At 40.3% G+C, this 21,322-nt stretch overlaps 1 protein-coding gene across 9 annotated transcripts in view, besides 2 other annotated features; it reads right to left on the bottom strand.

Moving 5' to 3' along the window:
* Positions 1–21,322, bottom strand: part of PDS5B (PDS5 cohesin associated factor B) — a 191,568-nt gene that overhangs the window by 55,869 nt on the left and 114,377 nt on the right. For all 9 annotated transcript variants that reach the window (XM_005266298.5, NM_015032.4, XM_017020452.3 and 6 more), the window contains 3 exons: positions 20,713–20,828; positions 15,112–15,217; positions 12,045–12,205 (listed from right to left, as the gene is read on the bottom strand). In XM_005266298.5, coding sequence (XP_005266355.1) covers positions 12,045–12,205; positions 15,112–15,217; positions 20,713–20,828 — 383 coding nt within the window. The remainder of the gene's footprint in view (positions 1–12,044; positions 12,206–15,111; positions 15,218–20,712; positions 20,829–21,322) is intronic.
* Positions 966–1,559: an enhancer, noted in NCBI's record as "NANOG-H3K27ac hESC enhancer chr13:33294729-33295322 (GRCh37/hg19 assembly coordinates)". NCBI's record gives its function as "activates a minimal SCP1, AML or CMV promoter by ChIP-STARR-seq in naive H9 embryonic stem cells {active_cell/tissue: H9 hESC(naive)}" and the evidence as "EXISTENCE:reporter gene assay evidence [ECO:0000049][PMID:30033119]".
* Positions 7,252–8,236: an enhancer, noted in NCBI's record as "OCT4-NANOG hESC enhancer chr13:33288052-33289036 (GRCh37/hg19 assembly coordinates)". NCBI's record gives its function as "activates a minimal SCP1, AML or CMV promoter by ChIP-STARR-seq in naive H9 embryonic stem cells {active_cell/tissue: H9 hESC(naive)}" and the evidence as "EXISTENCE:reporter gene assay evidence [ECO:0000049][PMID:30033119]".

Raw genomic sequence — 21,322 nt, 5'->3', positions numbered from 1 at the left:
GCTCCTGACCTCAAGTGATCTGCCCGCCTCGGCCTCCCAAGGTGCCGGGATTGCAGACGGAGTCTTGCTCACTCAGTGCTCAATGTTGCCCAGGCTGGAGTGCAGTGGCGTGATCTCGGCTCGCTACAACCTCCACCTCCCAGCCGCCTGCCTTGGCCTCCCAAAGTGCTGAGATTGCAGCCTCTGCCCGGCCGCCACCCCGTCTGGGAGGTGAGGAGCATCTCTGCCTGGCTGCCCATTGTCTGGGATGTGAGGAGCCCCTCTGCCCGGCCACCCAGTCTGGGAAGTGAGGAGCGCCTCTTCCCAGCCGTCATCCCGTCTAGGAAGTGAGGAGTGTCTCTGCCTGGCTGCCCATTGTCTGGGATGTGAGGAGCCCCTCTGCCAGGCCACCCAGTCTGGGAAGTGAGGAGCGCCTCTTCCCGGCCGTCATCCTGTCTAAGAATTGAGGAGCGTCTCTGCCTGGCCGCCCACTATCTGGGACGTGGGGAGCGCCTCTGCCCGGCCGCCCCGTCTGGGATGTGAGGAGCACCTCTGCCCGGCTGCCCCGTCTGGGAGGTGAGGAGCGTCTCTACCCGGCCGCCACCCCATCTGGGAGGTGAGGAGCACCTCTGCCCGGCCGCCACCCCGTCTGGGAAGTGAGGAGCGCCTCTGCCCGGCCACGACCCCGTCTGGAAACTGAGGAGCACCTCTGCCCGGCCGCCCCATCTGAGAAGTGAGGAGCCCCTCCGCCCGGCAGCCGCTCCGTCTGGGAAGTGAGGGGCACCCCCGCCCGGCAGCCACCCCGTCTGGGAGGTGGGGGGAGCCCTCGCCCGGCAGCCGCCCCGTCTGGGAGGTGGGGGGTTCCCCCGCCCGGCAGCCACCCCGTCTGGGAGGTGGGGGGCGCCCCCGCCCGGCAGCCACCCCGTCTGGGAGGTGGGGGTCGCCTCTGCCCGGCTGCCACGTCTGGGAAGTGAGGAGCCCCTCTGCCCAGCCACCACGCCGTCTGGGAGGTGTACCCAACAGCTCATTGAGAACGGGCCATGATGACAATGGTGGTTTTGTCGAATAGAAAAGAGGGAAATGTGGGGAAAAGAAAGAGAGATCAGATTGTTACTGTGTCTGTGTAGAAAGAAGTAGACATAGGAGACTCCATTTTGTTCTGTACTAAGAAAAATTCTTCTGCCTTGGGATGCTGTTAATCTATAACCTTACCCCCAACCCCGTGCTCTCTGAAACATGTGCTGTGTCAACTCAGGGTTAAATGGATTAAGGGCGGTGCAAGATGTGCTTTGTTAAACAGATGCTTGAAGGCAGCATGCTCATTAAGAGTCATCACCACTCCCTAATCTCAAGTACCCAGGGACACAAACACTGCGGAAGGCCGCAGGGTCCTCTGCCTAGGAAAACCAGAGACCTTTGTTCACATGTTTATCTGCTGACCTTCTCTCCACTATTGTCCTATGACCCTGCCAAATCCCCCTCTCCAAGAAACACCCAAGAATGATCAATAAATACTAAAAAAATTTTAAAAAAAAATAATAAAATAAATAAATAAATAAAAATAAAAAATAAAGATAAAAGTTGTACCCCTGTGCAGTGCAGCTCCATCATAATCTTAAGAGACTACCATATACATCTGGTCTATCGTTAACCAACGCACCATTATGCAGTACATGACTTTATACCTAGTATAGTTTGTTTCTCTGACTGAACCCTGAACTATATGACAGATTATGTGCACATCTTTTCTAATTATCTCTGGGATAAGTTCCTGAAAGTGCAGAGCCAAAAACTATACACATTTTAAGTTTGCATATATTACCACGTTACCAACCTAGAAGCATAGCATCATTTTATACTCCCACCAAGACAGCATTGTTGGAATGCTAACTAATACTGGTTGCATCACATAATTGCTTATATTTGTATTTCCTTGATTACATAAGCATCTTTTCATGATTTGGAAGGCTGACAGGACTTCCTGCTTATAAATTTCCTGTTCATTCTCTTTGCTAGTATTCTACTATGAGATTTATATTTGTTATTCCTTCATTAAGAATCTTTAATACATTGCAGCCAGGCACAGTGGCTCACACCTGTAATTCCAACACTTTGGGAGGCCAAGGCGGACAGATTACTTAAGGCCAGGAGACAGAGACCAGCCCCGCCCACATGGCAAAATCCAGTCTCTACTAAAAACACAAACAAAAAAAAATTGCCAGGGGTGGTGGCACACGCCTGTAATCCCAGCTATTTGGGTGGCTGAGACACAAAAACTGCTAGAACCTGGGAGGCAGAGGTTGCAGTGAGCCAAGAGATCAAGCCACTACACTACAGCCTGGGAGACAGAGTGAAACCCTGTCTCAAACAAAAAAAAAAGGGGGGGGGGTCTTTATACATTGCAGGTATTAACCTTTTCTAACTAATATATACTGAAAATAGTTTTCCAGCATATCATTTGTGTTTCCAACTTATTTCATGATTTTGGCTTTTATCTAAATAGTGGTTCCTCACCCCCACTAAAATAAAAGGGCAGAGAGACTTAGCCTGTCCTCTTTATTACAATGTCCTCGACACCTAGAACTGTACTGTACACCTAGAACCATACCATACATGGTGGGGCAGGGAGTGGGGGGTAACACATAGATTTTTTTGCAACAAATGAATTTTTTAAAAATAATACAATCCAGGCCAGGCATGGTGGCTCATGCCTGTAATCCCAACACTTTGGGAGGCCAAGCTAGGCAGATCACCTGAGCCCAGGAGATCAAGACCAGCGTGGGCAACATGGCAAAACCCTGTCTCTACAAAAAATACAAAATTTAGACAAGCATGGTGGCATATGCCTGTAGACACAACAACTTGGGAGGCTGAGGTGGGGGGACTGATTGAGCCCAGGAAGTTGAGGCTGCAGTGGGCCATGATTGAGCCACTGCACTCCAGTCTAGGTAACAGAGCAAGACCCTATCTCAACAAAATAATAATAGTAATAATAACAATAATCCAACCCATCAATATTTCATTCATGACTTGGTATAAGTGTCCCTTCCTCTACAAACAAGGAAGTTATAAAAATATACTGGTTACTAGTATTTTAATTCATGTTATATACTTAAACCAAATCCATGTTATACACTTAATGCAATAATTTGTCTTTGATTCTTCTGGAATATATGTAAAATCAAAGTAAGCAGTCTATTTTCCTTTCAAAACTGCTTGCTAATTATTTACTAGGTAACGTACCTTTTCCTGACCAATGTATTTGTTAAGTATTATATCCCCCCATCCACCATTATTACAGCATTGCAAATTTCTTGTATACTTTACTTCTAGGTCTTCTGATGTTTACTCCCATAATAATGTAAATGATTGTTGGTTATATACAGAAAACTTTGGATTTTTACATACTCATTTTGGCTACCCCATTTTGAGTAGTTTTTCGGTTGATTCTCCTGGATTTTCCAAGAAAAATGAAAGCTTCTTCCTTTCCCACACTTGTATTTCTTATTTTATATTCTTACATAATTACACTAGCTAATGCTTCCAAAACAATGTTAAACAATAGCAGAGATAGTGTGGTATCTCACCTTGTTCCTGCTTTTATTGGGAATGCTACTGGTGTTTTACATGATGCTGCCTATTGGTTTGAGAGATATTAATTATGTTATGAAGGTACGGATTCCTATCTTATTAGATTTAATTAGAAACAGACTGATTTTTTTGGCCAGGCGTGGTGGCTCACACCTCTAATCCCAGTACCTTGGGAGGCCGAGGCAGGCGGATCACAAGGTCAGGAGATCGAGAGCATCCTGGCTAACACAGCGAAACCCCGTCTCTATTAAAAATACAAAAAATTAGCCGGGCATGGTGGCGGGCGCCTGTAGTCCCAGCTACTCGGGAGGCTGAGGCAGGAGAATGGTGTGAACCCGGGAGGCGGAGCTTGCAGTGAGCCGAGATCATGCCACTGCCCTCCAGCCTGGGCGACAGAGCGAGACTCCGTCTCAAAAAAAAAAAAATTCAGAAGCCCTTTCAGCATCTATCAAAAATGATCTATTGTATACCCTTTTCCCTACTTATATAATAAATTGTAAACATAAATAGTAGGCTTACTAATATTGTACCAACGCTCTCTGTATACTCCTAAAATTAACCATGTTTGGCCATAATATATTCTCGCTTTATTATTTAAATTCTCTTTTTGCTACTATCTTGCTTATACAAAAATCACATATTAGTAAGATTTGTCTTAGCGTTTTTTTTTGGGGGGGTGGGTGGGGAGGATATCTTTTACTAGGTTTTAGTATTCATGTTAGTTATCCTGGCTGTAAAGAAAATGAGTGCTTTCTTTTCTATACTCTGAACAATTAAAAGAATTAGAATTCCTGGTTTCTTATAGATTTGAAATATCTCCCTCAAGACACAACTTACATTGGTGCTTTTTTTTTTTTTTTAATTTATTGATTTATTTATTTTTTTTTTTTTTTATTGATCATTCTTGGGTGTTTCTCGCAGAGGGGGATTTGGCAGGGTCATAGGACAATAGTGGAGGGAAGGTCAGCAGATAAACAAGTGAACAAAGGTCTCTGGTTTTCCTAGGCAGAGGACCCTGCGGCCTTCCGCAGTGTTTGTGTCCCTGGGTACTTGAGATTAGGGAGTGGTGATGACTCTTAACGAGCATGCTGCCTTCAAGCATCTGTTTAACAAAGCACATCTTGCACCGCCCTTAATCCATGTAACCCTGAGTGGACACAGCACATGTTTCAGAGAGCACAGGGTTGGGGGTAAGGTCACAGATCAACAGGATCCCAAGGCAGAAGAATTTTTCTTAGTACAGAACAAAATGAAAAGTCTCCCATGTCTACTTCTTTCTACACAGACACGGCAACCATCCGATTTCTCAATCTTTTCCCCACCTTTCCCCCCTTTCTATTCCACAAAACCGCCATTGTCATCATGGCCCGTTCTCAATGAGCTGTTGGGTACACCTCCCAGATGGGGTGGTGGCCTGGCAGAGGGGCTCCTCACTTCCCAGTAGGGGCGGCCGGGCAGAGGCGCCCCTCACCTCCCGGACGGGGCGGCTGGCCGGGCGGGGGGCTGACCCCCCCACCTCCCTCCCGGACGAGGCGGCTGGCCGGGCGGGGGGCTGACCCCCCCACCTCCCTCCCGGACGGGGCAGCTGGCCGGGCGGGGGACTGACCCCCCCACCTCCCTCCCGGACGGGGTGGCTGGCCGGGCAAAAGGGCTCCTCACTTCCCAGTAGGGGCGGCCAGGCAAAGGCACCCCTCACCTCCCGGACGGGGCGGCTGGCCGGGCGGGGGGCTGACCCCCCAACCTCCCTCCCAGACAGGGCGGCTGGCCGGGCAGGGGGCTGACCCCCCCACCTCCCTCCCGGACGGGGCGGCTGGCCGGGCAGAGGGGCCCCTCACTTCCCAGTAGGGGCGGCTGGGCAAAAGCGCCCCTCACCTCCCAAACGGGGCAGCTGGCCGGGCGGGGGGCTGACCCCCCCCACCTCCCTCCCAAACGGGGCGGCTGGCCGGGCGGGGGGCTGACCCCCCCACCTCCCTCCCGGATGGGGCGGCTGGCCTGGCGGGGGCTGACCCCCACCTCCCTCCCAGATGGGGTGGCTGCCGGGTGGAGACACTCCTCACTTCCCAGACGGGGTGGCTGCTGGGCGGAGGCGCTCCTCACTTCTCAGACGGGGCGGCTGCCGGGCGGAGGGGCTCCTCACTTCTCAGATGGGGCGGTTGCCAGGCAGAGGGTCTCCTCACTTCTCAAACGGGGTGGCTGGGCAGAGACACTCCTCACCTCCCAGACGGGGTCGCAGCCGGGCAGGGGCGCTCCTCACATCCCAGATGGGGCGGCAGGGCAGAGGCGCTCCCCACATCTCAGAGGATGGGAGGCCAGGCAGAGACACTCCTCACTTCCTAGATGGGATGGCGGCCGGGAAGAGGCGCTCCTCACTTCCTAGATGGGATGGCACGCCGGGCAGAGACGCTCCTCACTATCCAGACTGGGCAGCCAGGCAGAGGGGCTCCTCACGTCCCAGACGATGGGCGGCCAGGCAGAGACGCTCCTCACTTCCCAGACGGGGTGGTGGCCGGGCAGAGGCTGCAACTCTCGGCACTTTGGGAGGCCAAGGCAGGCGGCTGGGAGGTGGAGGTTGTAGCGAGCCAAGATCACGCCACTGCATTCCAGCCTGGGCACCATTGAGCACTGAGTGAACCAGACTCTGTCTGCAATCCCGGCACCTCGGGAGGCCGAGGCTGGCGGATCACTCGCGGTTAGGAGCTGGAGACCAGCCCGGCCAACACAGCAAAACCCCGTCTCCACCAAAAAAATACGAAAACCAGTCAGGCGTGGCGGCGCGCACCTGCAATCGCAGGCACTCGGCAGGCTGAGGCAGGAGAATCAGGCAGGGAGGTTGCAGTGAGCCGAGATGGCAGCAGTACAGTCCAGCTTTGGCTCAGCATCAGAGGGAGACCGTGGAAAGAGAGGGAGAGGGAGACCGTGGGGAGAGGGAGAGGGATAGGGAGAGGGAGAGGGAGAGCTACACTGGTGGTTTTATTAGCGAATAATGTTTCAATTTTTTTATAACTAGAGTCTGTTAGGTTTTTGTCTTTCCTCATCTTGAACTTATTTACATCATTCTTAAAAATCCAGGTTTTCAAATACATTTACATAGCCATATCTAAAAGTTAAATAATTAAACTAAAATGATAGGCAAAGACAAATCAGAGATATACAAACAAAAAGGAAACAAAATCTAGATTTAGAGGGCATAAGCAAAACTGAGTTCCAGACGGAAAAGCATAAAACTATGTAGACAGGGTAACCTCATGATAAAAAAGGGGTGGTACATTTACTGAGTCCTGTATACTTAAGAATATCCTTCATTTGCCCCTACTTAAAAGTAGCTAGGGCTGCCTAGGAAATTCTTTAGTTATACTGTTTTTTCCATCAGAACTCTCCAGCTGTTGAATCATTAACTTCAGAAATTGTGTGTGGTTTGAAAAGAAGTCAGCCAGCTTCATTATTTTCCACTGCGCTGACCTAACTATGTTGCAGGAAGTCAGGGACCCCAAACAGAGGGACCAGCTGAAGCCATGGCAGAAGAACATGGATTGTAAAGGTTTCATGGACATTTATTAGTTCCCCAAATTAATACTCTTGTAATTTCTTATGCCTGTCTTTACTGCAATCTCTAAACATAAAATTTGTAAAGATTTCATGGACACTTATCACTTCCCCAATCAATACTCTTGTGATTTCCTATGCCTGTCTTTACTTTAATCTCTTAATCCTGTCAGCTGAGGAGGATGTATATCGCCTCAGGACCATGTGATAATTGTGTTAACTACACAAATTATATAGCATGTGTGTTTGAGCAATATGAAATGTGGGCACCTTGAAAAAAGAGCAGGATAACAACAATCGTTCAGGGAATAAGAGAGATAACCTTAAACTCTGACCGCCGGTGAGCCAGGCATAACAGAGCCGTATTTCTCTTCTTTCAAAAGCAAATGGGAGAAATATCGCTGAATTCTTTTTCTCAGCATGGAACATCCCTGAGAAAGAGAATACGCACCTGGAGGTATAGGCTTATAAACAGCCCCCCCAGGTGCGCCTGTCTCTTATGGTTGAGGCTGCAGAGCTAAAACAGACTCCAGTCTCCCATAGCGCTCCTAGGCTTATTAGGAAGAGGAAATTCCTGCCTAATAAATTTTGGTCAGACCGGTTGATCTCAAAACCCTGTCTCCTGATAAGATGTTATCAATGACAATGGTGCCCAAAACTTCATTAGCAATTTTAATTTCGCCTCAGTCCTGTGGTCCTGTGAGGCTTATTAGGAAGAGGAAATTCCCGCCTAATAAATTTTGGTCAGACCGGTTGATCTCAAAACGCTGTCTCCTGATTAGATGTTATCAGTGACAATGGTGCCCGAAACTTCATTAGCAATTTTAATTTTGCCTCTGTCCTGTGGTCCTGTGATCTCATCCTGCCTCCACTTGCCTTGTGATATTCTATTACCCTGTTAAGTACTTGATGTCTGTCACCCACACCTATTCACACACTCCCTCCCCTTTTGAAAATCTCTAATAAAAACTTGCTGGTTTTTGTGGCTTGTGGGGCATCACGGATCCTACCAATTTGTGATGTCTCCCCTGGATGCCCAGCTTTAAAATTTCTCTCTTTTGTACTCTGTCCCTTTATTTCTCAAGCCGGCCGCCGCTTAGGAAAAATAGAAAAGAACCTACATGATTATCGGGGCAGGTTCCCCGATATAACTAGTTTTTCTTGATATTTGTGAAATCACTTTTGCAATCCCTGAAAATTTAGCAAACTGCACCAGTATATTTTCCAAAAATGAGTCTTCACCTCCAGATTCATATTTTAAATCATTCAGAACAAATTTATTATTATTTTCTTGAATATTTTCCATTTCCCATTATTCTACTGTCTTCTCCAAAGATGTCAATTATGGTTTTTCACTATCTGCAATTCATTCCCTTTAACTCCATTTTTTCTCTCCAATTTCTCTATATTCTATGCAGATTTCCTCAAGCCAAATCTCTAGCTTACTGATTCCATCTTCCACATTGTTTATTCTGCTCCTTGCTACTTATATTAAATTATATTCTATAGTCAATATCCTTAGCTCTTTTTCATGTATTACTTCATTTTTGTTATCTTTTTTCTCTCATGTCATTTGCTGTTTACCTTCCTTGGCAGCTTAAATAACTAAGACAGTTATTTAAGTATTGCTTATCAGTTACTTTGGAATGCTAAGATATTTACATAGGTTTTGTGTTTGTTAACTTGCTTATCTGTATTCTGTTAATTCATCTTTGAATAAGAAAAATTCTCTCTGGCTTTGCTATTTAAACAAAAGTATAGTTAGCATCTCCCGGATGACTGAACACTTCTTTAAAAAATTAACATCAAAGCTCCCAACTCAGGCTACAGTTGCTTCATCACCTGGCTAAGTAGCATAGGAATGAGAGTTAGGACTAAAGGTAGTAAGTCCTTTTTCTCTGTGTAATTTATCTCCAAATTTGTTAAAACTCTTACAAGGATAAGAACCAGTCACTTGAGCTATGGGTACATCACATGTTATGACAGGATCCTCAGTTTTGGCACATCTAACTACTTTTAGGGGAGTCAGACTCCTGAGAGACAAGCTGAGACACAATGGAACTCATATAACTCATCGTTATGGAACCCCATAACTCATCTTCATTTTTTGTTTAATGGGTTAAGCGTATAATTTTCTTCTGTTCCCGTAAAGTTGGTAAAAAGATATTTCCTTCATGATTTTCCTTAGTCTTACCTCATCACTAAACTTTGCTCTTCCTGGTAAACAGGTTGACCTAAAGAAAAATACTATGACCACAAAGCCTCTCCTTTAGTCCTAGTACAGCTAAAATCAGGTTTTCTTTCTTTCTCTTAAAGTGTGTCCATATAGCAATATCCTCCCTCTAAATTAGCAAATAATAGGACACTTACAGTACACTGCCAATACATATCCCTTGTCAGTGCTCTCACTTTCAATAGAGTCTTAAGGGCACATCTGGTGCCAATTCTGTCCAGTTGGTGGTAGCTTTACTTAAATACATTTTTCTTTAGGTTCTTTTTAATTATTTTGATGAATTCAAGGGAAGACAGTTTAATCAACATTCTCTTAACTATATTATTTTTCCTCAAAATCAACTCACCCAATTTAATAATTTAAAAAATTAAATCTACATACATAGTTTATCTCCTGGAAGAAATTATTATGAGTTATTTCATCAACAACAGTGTGTGCACACTGCAGGAATTCAGTATCAGCTGAGTTAATTCTCCTCATGAGAAGTATCTGAAATATATTCAGTATATAAATCAAATATTTTAAATACTTCAGTTCCATATTAAAGCAATACATTTTAAAATGCTCCATGTACATTTTAAAATGTCCACCTTTTGACCCTGTTCTTGTGGTTCTACAAATATATCAAACCATGTTTCTTTAAAATATAAAAGTTACTAGGGAAAAACAATCTAGAATGAAAATAATAAAACCTCCAGGGAATAAGCCAAATTTGAACTTTGTCAATGCTCTAATTAGAAAAGAAACTGCTGTAATGGATATCGCACCATAGGCACTGGAGCCAAACAGGCCTAAATTCAAATCCTGGCTCTGTCACTTGCTAGCTGTATGACCTGGGTCCATTTACCACTTGAACATTAGATTCCTCATTTGGAAAACTAGGATAATAACCGCACTTCACTGAATTGTTACAATGTTTAAATGAGACAGTATAGTAAGTGGGCATTCAGCAAATGGTATACTGTTATATACAGTTTATACATAATGAGTGGGTATGTATACGTACTACATATGTGTGTGCGACAAATACACACATACACATACACATACATACAACCAAACTCTCATCTCTGATCTGACTAGGAGAGCCATAGCACCATCCAAAGGGAAGCTTATGCTCTGGGATTACTTAAAAATTAGAAGTCAAGGCCAGGCGCGGTGGTTCATGCCTGTAATCCCAGCACTTTGGGAGGCGGAAGCGGGCAGATCACTTGAGGCCAGGAGTTGGAGCCCAGCCTGGTCAACATGGTGAAGCCCTGTCTCTATTAAAAATACAAAAATTAGCCAGGTGTGGTGGTGCAGGCCTGTAATTCCAGCTACTCAGGAGGCTGAGGCAGGAGAATTGCTTGAACCTGGGAGGCAGAAGCTGCAATGAGCCAAGATTGCGCCACAGCACTCTAACCTGGGTGACAGAGTAAGACTTCAAGTCAGTTCCAAATAATAAGGTTTCTTACTCTTGCCAGAGAGACTGTTATAAAATTTTAGTAGGTTTCTATTACCATTTAAATAATTGCCGGCCAGGCACGCTGGCTCATGTCTGTAATCCCAGCACTTTGGGAGGCTGAGGCGGGCAGGTGATATCACCTGAGGTCAGGAGTTCAAGACCAACCTGGCCAACATGGCAAAACCCTGTCTCTACAAAAAATTAGCCGGGCATGGGGGCGTGTGCCTGTAATCCCAGCTACTCAGGAAGCTGAGGCAGGAGAATCGCTTGAACCTGGGAGGTGAAGGTTGCAGTGAGCTGAGATCACACCACACTACACTCCAGCATGGGCAACAGAGTGAGGCTCCATCTCAAAAAAAAAAAGAAAAAAAGAAAATAATAATAATGCCTTTGTTCTATTTATCAGCAGTTTCTAGAATAAAGTACACATGAACAGAAAGGAATAACAGAAATTATACCTGAAACTCTAATTGCGAGCTAGCTTTACTCCCAGTCTCTTTCTAAGGAAAAGACCCATAGGCAATTCTTCTCCATATAAAAGCATGGTACCCCAATCACAACTAACCAGACTAATGGGTAAGCCAGAAGTGATGAGGTAGAGGTGAAAGCAACCACCTATGACTACGCCAGTATCAGAACCACCTATTCCATCTTCTCTCCAAGAACTAGAAGAAGAGATATACATAGAGAAGTAAGCAGTGCCATGTAAGAAATGAAGATTTATTCTTCTGATTATAAAATCTTGAACTATGATTATCCCAGGATAACAGCTCAATTTGCAATTATGGGAAATACTGGAACACAGACAAAATTGCACTGCTGTTAAGGTAAGTATTCCATGCTTCTCGACTTCCCTGTGTCAATTAAAGCACTGCTTCCGACTTTTTTTTGTTTCAGCCCTAAATCACAGAGGAAACTAAAGAATATTATGGATAGTCCTGATGAAATTCCTTTGAAACTTCCCATCATACCTTAAATTCATATGAATTGTTTATTCTATGCCATAATATACCAGGGACTATCTAACTGATGCATCAGAAAGACATGCCATGTTTATCCCCCACACTCATGCATCTTCTAAAATACCAATCAAAGCTTTCTCCCAGGAAAGGAGAATCTAAACTGAACATTACAGACTTAAGATAACCTAGACAGTTTTTCCTCAAAACTTGAAAGATTCCCAATTATTGCATAAATCAAGAAATAATTATGTTTCTGATGTCCAGAATATTTTTGAAAATAAACTCAACTCACGATCTGATGTGTGGAAAATCCTCTTCAATTTTGCTTCCTGTGTTTTTGAAAATTTGTAGTGCAGCTTCTGCTACTTTTTCATCATCCATTTTCAGACAAGCCAGTAATGATTCAAATGTTTCAGCAGAATGAAATGAGATGGGATGTGTAAATGAGAGTACCTATAAAATGAATCATAAAAATGATTTGTAAAACTTTTTCATCTTTATAATACAAATCCAAAATATTACATATTAGAAATACTATAAATCAAAGTCTATTAAAAAAAATTATGTTGACCAAAATCTGAGAGCACTATAAATAAAATTTAAAACATACTCAACTATGTAACAGAAATGTTCCTCTGTAGGAAGATTGTATGATATAATGAAGTAATTTCTTCCAAAATTAAATTACATGTTAATATAATTTTAATCAAAATAATTTAGATTTTGATTATTGTTCAGGTTTTTTGGTGGGGAATGAGAGGAGAAAAGGGGACATGAAGAGAGAATTTAACAAAACATCTCTCATCTTCTCAATAAACATCATTAGCAGAGACTGAAGAAGAGGAGAATAAACTAGACTGACCAGACAGTAAAAAAGTCTATAAAGTTCCAATGTCCAAATCACAATGGTACGAACATTAGAATAATCATGAAACAGAAAATGTAAGGCAGTTAAGTAGACTCTAGAATATATAAAAAATTAGATTATATAAATTGTAAGAGATTACAAAGAAGTCAACAGAAAATAAATAGTCCTGGGAAAACTGAATAGCTATTGGGAGAAAATCAAATTAGACCCCTTGCCCCCACAACACACTTTCAAAATAAATTTCAGATGGGTTGTGTTTAAGATTTTAAAAAATAAAAACAACAAAAACCCTCTGTATAAGATAGGGTTTTTTAAAGCATAAAATAAACAAAAGGAATCAAATGTGGAATGTAAAAAAAACAGCACACAGCAGAAAAATATACTAAGTATAATGCCACATTTATAAGTTTCTAAAATAATCAAAATAAGCAACATGTTATTTAGAGATACATACATAGATGATAAAACTATAAAGAATATTGAAAGAATAATAAATCCAAAATTCAGGACAATGATACCTGGTAAGGGGATGTAAGCAGGCAAGAAAAAAGACTACTCAGGGAACTTGAACAGTATTTTTAATATTCAATTTAATTTGACACTCTATTTACTTTTCACTTGTATTCACTTGGTTACTACACTTCATAATTTACATATAAGAGAATACATGTTTGTACATATATCAAATATGTCCCAGGAAAAAGCAAAGGAAATAAAAAGCTTATTTAAATCAGTTTAAAAAAAAACAAAAGATAGAGATGTCAGTAGATGTATGAGCAAAGGATAAAAATGACCATAGGGAAAACACAAATGATTAACATATGGACCTCACTAGTATTAAATATGCAAATTAAAACATTATTTTTGCTTATCAGATTCGCAAATCTTTTAAAAATGTATTATATTCCATATTTTGAAGGTTAAAAAGACGGGTACCTTCACATACTACTGATGGGATTATATATCGGTAAAATTTCCCTGTACAGCAATTTAAATATATATTGCTCCAAGAATTTTGAAAGTGGTCACTCTCTTTAACTCAGTAATGCTCTCCCAGTTTTCTAAAAAATAAGATATTACCAAGAGATCTTACATAGAAACATTCACCTTAGTGTTGTTTGTAAGAATAAAAGTAGAAAAATCAAAATATTCAACAATAGGAAAATACTAGTGATACAGAGAAAGGAGAGTCCCAAAGTGAGGATTAGCCCGCAAGGATTCTTGGCTTTGCCAAGGAAAGAATTCAAGGGCAAGCCAGTGATAGGGCAGAAGAAAATAGCTTTACTGAAGCAGCAGTCTTACTGCTCCGGAGGTGTTACATACACCTCTATGACTGCTTCTGCAGAACAGTACTACCCCATAGGTAGGGTGCAGAGAGTTGTAGCTCAGGGCAGTTTTACAGTAATATTTATACCTACTTTTAATTATATACAGACTAAGGGGGCAGTTTATGCAGAAATTCCTAGGGAACGGGGAGTAGCTTTTGGGTCATCAGGTCATTGCCAAGGAAAGGGACAGTAACTCCGGGGTATTGCCATAGCAATGGTAAACTGACAAGGCACATTGGTGGGCATGTCTTCTGGAAAGCTGCTTCTATCTCGCCCTTGTTTTAGCTAGTCCTCAATTTGGTCCTGTATCTGAGCTCCGCCTCTGGAGTCCAGTCCTGCCTCCTACCTCGGTAGGATAGTATGATGCCCCAAATATGGGCTAATCACCATTTCAAAAATGTTTATTATTATTTTTACTATGAGCTAGGCATGGTGCTAAGAAATTCATGTACAAGCTTTAACGTCCTTTGCAAGACAAGTACTTTATTATTATCTCGATTTCATATGAGGAAATGAGGCAAGTAATGTGGTCAAAGGCAGACAGCTACTAGATGACAGCCAAAAACCAGATCTGCTTTAGACACTCTTAAAAAAAAAAACTCTTGAAAAACACCGAGAAAAATGCTTATACTTTAATAAGGGAAAATAGTTAAGGATACAAAATTGTATATTCAGTTTGATCTCAATGATCCCAACTATGCATTTGTTGAAGATTAAAAGGAAACAAAAGAAACTAATGTTTATGTATGATCAACCTATGTTTTTTATAATTTTATATATTCTAAAGTTGTCAATAATGAATTAATATTTTTACAATCAGTAAAAGACAGAATATTTTATGAAACAAAAAAAAATAAGAGTTTTAGAAAGAATTTGGCTCATTCTACAGCAGAGTTGTACCTTCTTTGCTCACTAATGACACCCTGAATTATACTCCACTATTTTAATATAATTAGTACTAGGCTAGATTACAGCATTTAAACCCCAAAATAATCAGATTACATGTAAGAATAAATATACAACTTCTAAATCATCTAAAACAACTGAGAAAATTTTACTTTGGATTATACAAACTTAAGAAGAAAACATCAAGAACAAATAATATAAACTGTATATGTTAAACAGATATCTAATTAGGCACTTAATTTTAAATAGATACTTACCTTAAGCAGTTCAAGACCTGCTCTGATGGCTTGATCAGTTGGAACACCCTCATCTTCATCATCTGCTGTTCCATCTATTGATTTGTTCACTTGTTTAATAAGAGCACTAAAATATGACCAAAAAAGTCATTTTTTCAAATGTTACTAGCAATGTCTAAGAAAAATAATCCTGTGTTACATATATGTGCACATACATATATACATATCCGAACCAAATACAAATTTGATATAGCTGGTTTTTAACACTACTGCAAAACAACTATAGTATTTTCAGATGCTTCTTTTCAAAAACAATTCTTTTCCCTTGCCCATTCAAATGAGGTCAAAATGTTATTCAATTTGCTCTTTATTAATGCTATCAATATCTTTATCATCTTTTCCATGGCAGGTCTGAGCCCAAACACATAAATGACAAATTATTTTTAATTATCTAAAACTGATCACTAGTCCAGTAAGTAGAACAATATACACAGAAATAAAAAATGATAAAGGAAACATTAAGCACTTCCAAACCATTTACCAAATATTACTGTGTGTCACGCACAGCTGTCAAAGTCAGAAATATACCTAGGCCTCCTCCTAAAAGGTGTAAGAATCCTAGGTAACAGACATACAATAAAACCTCATTAGAACATCAGAAAAGGAACTACAATAGATCAAAAGGAAACATGATGTTTTCAAGCTTTCTTCTAATAAAAACAAGCTTATGTTATTTTATTTATTTATTTATTTATTTATTTATTTATTTATTTATTTATTTTTGAGACGAAGTTTCACTTTGTCACCCAGGCTGGAGTGCAGTGGCGTGATCTCGGTTCACTGCAACCTCCGCCTCCTGGGTTCAAACAATTCTCCTGCCTCAGCCTCCCAAGTAGCTGGGATTACAGGTGCGCGCCAACAAACCCAGCTAATTTTTGTATTTTTAGTAGAGACGGGGTTTCACCATGTTGGTCAGGCTGGTCTCAAACTCCTGACCTGAAGTGATCTGCCCGCCTTTGCCTCTCAAAGTGCTGGGATTACAGATGTGAGCCACCACGCCCGGCCAAGCTTGTTATTTTAAAATAAACATCTGTACCCAGGCACAGTGGCTCACTCCTGTAAACACAGCCACTTAGGAGGCTGAAAAAGGAGGGTCACTTGAGGCCAGGAGTTCAAGACCAGCCTGAGCAACATAACGAGACCCTGTCTCTACATAAAATTTAAAAAATTAGCCTGGCATGGTAGTGTGTGCCTGTTGTCCCAGCTATTTGGGAGGATCACTTAAGCACAGTAGCTTAAGGTTACAGTGAGCTATGATGCACCACTGCACTCCAGCCTGGGTGGCAGAGTGAGACCCTATCTCTAAAAATATAAATAAACATTTGTAATGCATTGACAATTATCTAAAATAATCATTTATACTGATGGGTATGTATTTGTCCTTTTTATAAAAAACACCACCAGAGACAGAAAACATACCAAAATACAAGAAAATTCAATTATTCAATGTTCCTTAAAATGTTTAGTAAATATGCTTCTACGAAAATATTATATATTCAAATTTAAGGTCAAGTTAGGAGTTAAATATATCTGTCCCCATTATAGGGTCCCCTTAAATTGATCATCTCTTTAACAGTTGGTATTTCTGAGGGTGTTTTCTCTTTTTCTGCTCATTTTCCCTAATCAGCTTATTCTCTTATCTCCAACTATTCCAAATACAAATCTTCAATCTGAATCCTTTCCATATTTTCAGTAGCCCCAAGATTTTTTAACCTAGATATACGCAGGAATGAAAACTATCACATTTCCAAAAGTAAACTCATTTTCTTCCACGACTGAGAGTATGAAGCTCTCAGTGAAGTGAAGCAAGTAAAAAATAAGTTAACAAACACATTAAAAAGATCATCAGAGAACAAGATGGACTACAAAAAAAGGCCACAACAAGAAGAAAAGTTCCATAGCCAGGGTAATTAGGAAAGGGATTTCTGAGGAAGGACAACTGAACTACTAACAGCCAGGTATACGAAAATCTATGGGAAAGCACCTACCTGAAAGATCAAAGAAAATCAACTGAAAAACTATTTTAAAATACTAAGAATTCAGTGGAGTAAAACAAAACACTCAAAAATCAATAGCACTTTTCTGTATCAGCAAAAACTACCTAAAAAAACAGAGAGGGGAAATCTATTCACAATAACAAGTCAAAATATAAAAACATAACTAAAAAGTTGTAATGTACAGAATCTCTATGTCATTTGGTATGGGACAAGATTCCACAGGTACATACTAAGTCTCATATGGAAGAATTAATTAGTGCTTAGGAACAGCCAATAAATTTTACGGAAGGAGGGATGAAAGAACTTCCTCTAATGTATCACAACCTCAGAAGACTAAAGAACCAAAGGGAATCCAGCAAGGATCCAAACCATGTAAGAATTTACGCTATAATAAAGGAACACCTCAAATCAAATGAGAATCAATTTTTCTGTAAATGGAGTTCATACAACTATCTACCATGTGCCTTTGAAAAAGACTGGGTCATCTCTTCTCAGCCTTTTGGCTAGGATCAAGTGTAAAAAGGACTGGGTCAAGGCCGGGGCACAGTGGCTCATGCCTGTAATCCCAGCACTTTGGGAGGCCAAGGCGGGCAGATCACTTGAGGCCAGGAGTTCAAGACAAGCCTGGGCAACACGGTGAAACCCCATTTCTACTAAAAATACAAAAATTAGCTGGATGTGCTGGCACATGCCTGTAATCCCAGTTACTTGTAAGGCTGAGGCAGGAGAATTGCTTGATCACAGCAGGTGGAGGCTGCAGTGAGCTGAGATCAAGCCACTGCACTCTAGCCTGGGCAACAGAGTGAGACTTACTCAAAAAAAAAAAAAGACTAAGTCTCTATGTCCACCTTACACTAAATTCCAGACTAATTACAGATGTAAATGTAAAAAAGCAGAGCTATTAATATGATACCAAAGGCTGAAATAAACCACAAAGGAAATGACTGACATTTAATTATACAATGTAATATTTATTAATTGCAAAGAGATTTAAAAGGTGATTCAACTGGGTGAACAGCCTTGTTTTATAAAGCATTCTTATAATCAATAAGAAAAAGACAATTTCACTGAGTCCCTATGGAAAAATAAAAAGCATTCTCCAAAGGGATAAAATTAGCCAAGACATAAATGAAAAAAAAAGTTCAACCTTATTAATAATTGCTCAACTTTTCTATTTGAAACACAAAAATTTTTTTTAAAGGGTACATCTCTTCATTCACCTATAAAATGACAAATATTGAAAAGATTAACAGTCACTGTTGGGAAGAGTCAGATGAAATGGACATTCACTGACTACTATAGGGGACTAAAAGTAGAATTTTTCTGTACAGTGTAGTGGTTAACCAAGTGGGCTCTAGAGACAGACTTCCTAGGTTTAAATGCTGTTTTCCACACTCCAGCAGTGAGAAGGTTACTCACCCTATGTGCAATTTACTGCTCTTTATCTGTAAAATGGGAATAATAATAGTTCCTATCCTTGGAGAAAGAAGTTAGTTAAAACATAAATTCTTAGAGTAACACCAGGCACATTATAAAGCACTAACTGCTACTTGTTCTTATTGTTTATGTTTTGACATACCTTCTAGATCACTATGACCTTCTGATTCCTAAAGCCAAGATCTATTCCTGGTTTTCAGTCTCTTTGTCCACAATATACTTTACTTCTGAAAACCTCCTCCATCTTAACTCAAAACATTACAATAACCTAGTCTTCTTACATTTCTACAATTTCTCTACTGTAAAAAAAATTTCCAAAGTTCTGTCTATGATCTTTTTACTTCTTTCTATACAATCTGAGCAGATTAATCCATTCTCATAGTTTCACATTAAACTTGATAGGCCTTGATTTTTTTTTAATTGTTTGTCATGTACAAGTAGGAAGCACAACCTCTCTCACCTCCTTCAAAAACAGTTCCTTTCATTCTTTTCAAGGTACTACTATTCTCCACATCATTTGGACTTGAATCCTAATATTTCTGGTTCTTCCTTGCCTTTATTCCCCATACCCAGTAAGCTGGCAATTTTTTAGGTTGTTGTTTTAAAATTTCCTTCAAGTACGTTGTCTCCTTTCCATTCCACTACTAGCCATAGACAATTAAAACACCTTGGCAATCTATCTCTTCTACTTCCCTCCTCCTAGCCATCATCTCAATCATCCATAGTTCTCAACAGATAAAGTAAAAGGAAGCTCAATGTTAAAGGCTTTCACAATCTGCTCCCCATCTGGCTTTTTAAGGATCATCTCATAACAGTTTTATATGATGCCACATTACACTATAAATAGATGGCAATCATTTTCTAAATATCCCTTTTCTTTACTATCAAATTAGCTTAATTTATGTTAACCTCAATGGCAAGAATGGCACTTCTATAAAAACAGAATCTTACCCATTCTCCCCTCTTAGGTGAAATATTATCCCTTAGAGATATCCTCTTTCAATACTGTGAACTCTATTTGCAATAATCTTACTGAACTACAATATAATCTCCTGATTTGAAATCTTTATTCCACTACTGACAGAAGGTATAACAGCACACTATGCTTTGCCAGTACCTAAAGAGTACTGCCTTGAATAGAGAAGGCATGAGATTACTTACTTAATAAATTTGTCTGATTCAGAGTCTTCCTCTTACAAATATAGAGGCTTCTACTTCTTGTCTTGCTTTTTAAACCTCAGAACTACCTCTTCAAATGAAAACCGATACAAGAGGAGTCCAAAGTGACTGACAGGTAACCAAAGTAGGGTCTCTCTATTTGCAAGGGGTCAATGACCAAAAGCTACGCCCAATGCCTTCCCCAACAAAACATCTCCAACAGGGTTTGAGCATAAGATGAAAAAATCATTAGTATTATTTATTTTAGATTATAATATATACCCCTCAAAGAACACTACTGATGACTAACTAGTAAGTCAGTATGCGCTATATATATTGTATAAGTACTTTATTTTTTCAGTCAGAGGAAAACATTTTAGGGAAAGTTTAAAAATAAAAAAACACCTCTTCCCACATTTCACAAAAGGGAATGCAGAGATAAAAAGAAATGTTTCCAACTTCTCACAGGTAGTATCAAAGCTGAAACTTTAAATGAGAGTTGTTTTAAAAAACAACATTTTCAGTTCTCAAATTATCTGTGAAAATGTATCATTTGTTCCTTTGCAACAGATTCACCTAGTTTCCCAAGGGTATAAATAAAATTTATTTATATTACCTAAACTATACAAGTTAACAAAAACAAAGAGTGTCTGGTATACCGTTAACAGATAAAATTAGGCTTAGATTGACAATTTCTCACACAATTTGAACCAATCCTTAAAATTAAGATAAATAACAAGAATAACAACAAATATACAGGTACAGATGAGTGTATATATATATATATGTGTGTGTCTGTGTGTGTGTGTGTGCATATACAAATACAGGTATATGCAGAGGAGTATATACAGAGGAGTACACAATACACACAGATGTGTAGCTAGATATAGCAGGCACTCAACAATGACTGATTCCTGAATGTACACATTAATGAACAGCAATGAGAACTTAGTATTTTATATACAAATACCTGATAGATTCGGTATCTATGTGCACAGGTGCTATCCTCTCCAAGAGAAACTTGATCATTTCCAGGAAAGGATTTGTAGGCTGTTTGGGGTTGCCCAACTTCTTAGTTATTTCACGCTGTAATACAGATTATTTCAGTATTACAAAAGTACATTTAAACAAATCATTATGTTAAAATATTAAGAACCAACAATAATTAAAACCATGTAGTACTGACGCTGGAATAAACAAACTGTAAGAATTGAACAAGCCCAGAAAAAAAGACTGAATTAAGGATTTAGCATATGAAAAAGGTAATATTTCAAGTAATCAGGGAAAAGGTAGACTAGTCAATACACTGTATTGAAATTACTGGATAGACATTTGGAATAAAAACAAAGTAAGGTCCCTGTCTCATATATTACATCAAAAATATTCCAAAAGAATAAAAATACAAATGAATAAAACCAAGAGTCACTGGATGCACAAACTTGAGGAAGTAAAATTATCAGAAGAGCTTGTTAAAACTATAGATTCCTGTATTTAACTCTGAAGATTCTCATTTAGTTGATCTGGGGTGAAGTCAAGAATCATCTTTCTCTAAAAAGCATTTCAGAAGGTACATAGGTAAC

This window comes from Homo sapiens, chromosome 13 (assembly GCF_000001405.40).
Source record: "Homo sapiens chromosome 13, GRCh38.p14 Primary Assembly".
NCBI classification, from domain to species: Eukaryota; Metazoa; Chordata; class Mammalia; order Primates; family Hominidae; genus Homo; species Homo sapiens.
Note: the sequence above shows the minus strand (reverse complement) of the source record. Positions and strands in the feature narration are given on the sequence as shown.